At 52.5% G+C, this 2,344-nt stretch overlaps 1 annotated feature.

Annotated features, from left to right (window-relative positions):
- Positions 794-1,293: an enhancer, noted in NCBI's record as "H3K27ac hESC enhancer chr18:68237381-68237880 (GRCh37/hg19 assembly coordinates)". NCBI's record gives its function as "activates a minimal SCP1, AML or CMV promoter by ChIP-STARR-seq in naive and primed H9 embryonic stem cells {active_cell/tissue: H9 hESC(naive and primed)}" and the evidence as "EXISTENCE:reporter gene assay evidence [ECO:0000049][PMID:30033119]".

Here is a 2,344-nt window from a genome sequence, read left to right as displayed (position 1 = left end):
AAGAAATATATAATTTTTGAGTTGCATTACCTCCTCATAGCCACATAACAAAACATACCTCCAGGAATTTGAATCAATTGATCCACTTGGGGTCAGTGGGAAAGTGTATGCCAAGAACAAAGATTTGGTATTGAGTAATATTGAACTGTTCGTTCTGCCCATAATTAGAAATGGAAATATTTGTTTTCTGAAACTCTTTCAGATAAATAATAGTAAAAATCTTCCTCGGCATGGGCTGCATGCACCCCTCACCCCCTAACCCATACATTCATCTACAACAACAGAAGTATATGCATGGAGTTTATCTAAAATATTTGTAGCAGGGTTTTGACGTGCTCACGACTCCTCCAATTTTCTACCAAAATGATTCAATTATTCAAACATTAAGAGAAAAACATGCAACTCAAGGGACAGCCTGAGAAACCTGATAGCCTTGCTGCTAGAGATGGAGTCCCCTTGGAGGCATCGCCTTCTGTGCACAGCCCTGATGAAGTTTCAGATCTCCACCAGAGAGACTGACAGAGAAAGCTATGCCCTTGCCACAGGATCAACAGTTTACACTAACTGAAGAGCCCAGAGAGTCTGCCGGCCCCTCTGCACACTTTAAAGACTCTCAGCCCATCAGCCTTTTGAGAAACAGAATATCTCCTATCTTCTCAACATTTGAGAGACACAAGCAGGACCTGAGGAGTTGCTTAGGTAACTGACATTTACTTACCTCTATTGTCAATGCTGGTATATCTGTGTGTATGTGGACAGGGTGAACAATGAAAAAAGATGTGGAATCAATAAAAGTGTTTGGAAAAAATGATACTACTTTGAACAATCAGGAATGTGTGAGTAGTTTTTAAGTAGATTTGATGAAAATATATTCATTCATTTCATAGAGAAAAAGAAAATAGACATACCAACTTTACAATTAATACAATTGGCCCTCTCCCTCTCCCTCTCCCTCTCCCTCTTCCTCTCCCTCTCCCTCTTCCCCACGGTCTCCCTCTCCCTCTCCCCCACGGTCTCCCTCTCCCTCTCCCCCACGGTCTCCCTCTCCCTCTCCCCCACGGTCTCCCTCTCCCTCTCCCCCACGGTCTCCCTCTCCCTCTCTTTCCACCGTCTCCCTCTGATGCCGAGCCAAAGCTGGACTGTACTGCCGCCATCTCTGCTCACTGCAACCTCCCTGCCTGATTCTCCTGCCTCAGCCTGCCGAGTGCCTGCGATTGCAGGCGCGCGCCACCACGCCTGACTGGTTTTCGTATTTTTTGGTGGAGACGGGGTTTCGCTGTGTTGGCCGGGCTGCTCTCCAGCTCCTAACCGTGAGTAATCTGCCAGCCTCGGCCTCCTGAGGTGCCGGGATTGCAGATGGAGTCTCGTTCACTCAGTGCTCAATGTTGCCCAGGCTGGAGTGCAGTGGCATGATCTCGGCTGGCTACAACCTCCACCTCCCAGCCTTGGCCTCCCAAAGTGCCAAGATTGCAGCCTCTGCCCGGCCGCCACCCCGTCTGGGAAGTGAGGAGCGCCTCTGCCCCGCCGCCCCGTCTGGGATGTGAGGAGCGCCTCTGCCCGGCCATGACCCCGTCTGGGAGGTGAGGAGCATCTCTGCCCGGCCGCCCCGTCTGAGAAGTGAGGAGCCCCTCCGCCCAGCAGCTGCCCCATCTGAGAAGTGAGGAGCCCCTCCGCCCGGCAGCCGCCCCATCTGGGAAGTGAGGAGCGTCTCTGCCCAGCAGCCGCCCCGTCCGGGAGGTGGGGGGCAGCCCCCGCCCAGCCAGCCGCCCCATCCAGGAGGGAGGTGGGGGGCAGCCCCCGCCCGGCCAGCCGCCCCGTCCGGGAGGTGGGGGACGCCTCTGCCCGGCCGCCCCTTCTGGGAAGTGAGGAGCCCCTCTGCCCAGCCGCCACCCCGTCTGGGAGGTGTACCCAACAGCTCGTTGAGAACGGGCCATGATGACGATGGCAGTTTTGTGGAATAGAAAAGGGGGAAATGTGGGGAAAAGATAGAGAAATCAGATTGTTGCTGTGTCTGTGTAGAAAGAAGTAGACATAGGAGACTCCATTTTGTTCTTTACTAAGAAAAATTCTTCTGCCTTGGGATGCTGTTGATCTATGACCTTACCCCCAACCCGGTGCTCTCTGAAACATGTGCTGTGTCCACTCAGGGTTAAATGGATTAAGGGCGGTGCAAGATGTGCTTTGTTAAACAGACGCTTGAAGGCAGCATGCTCCTTAAGAGTCATCACCACTCCCTAATCTCAAGTACCCAGGGTTACAAACACTGCGGAAGGCCCCAGGGTCCTCTGTCTAGGAAAACCAGAGACCTTTGTTCACTTGTTTGTCTGCTGACCTTCCCTCCACT

Source organism: Homo sapiens, chromosome 18, assembly GCF_000001405.40.
Source record: "Homo sapiens chromosome 18, GRCh38.p14 Primary Assembly".
In the NCBI taxonomy this organism is placed as follows: domain Eukaryota; kingdom Metazoa; phylum Chordata; class Mammalia; order Primates; family Hominidae; genus Homo; species Homo sapiens.
This window is presented reverse-complemented; position numbering and strand designations above follow the sequence as displayed.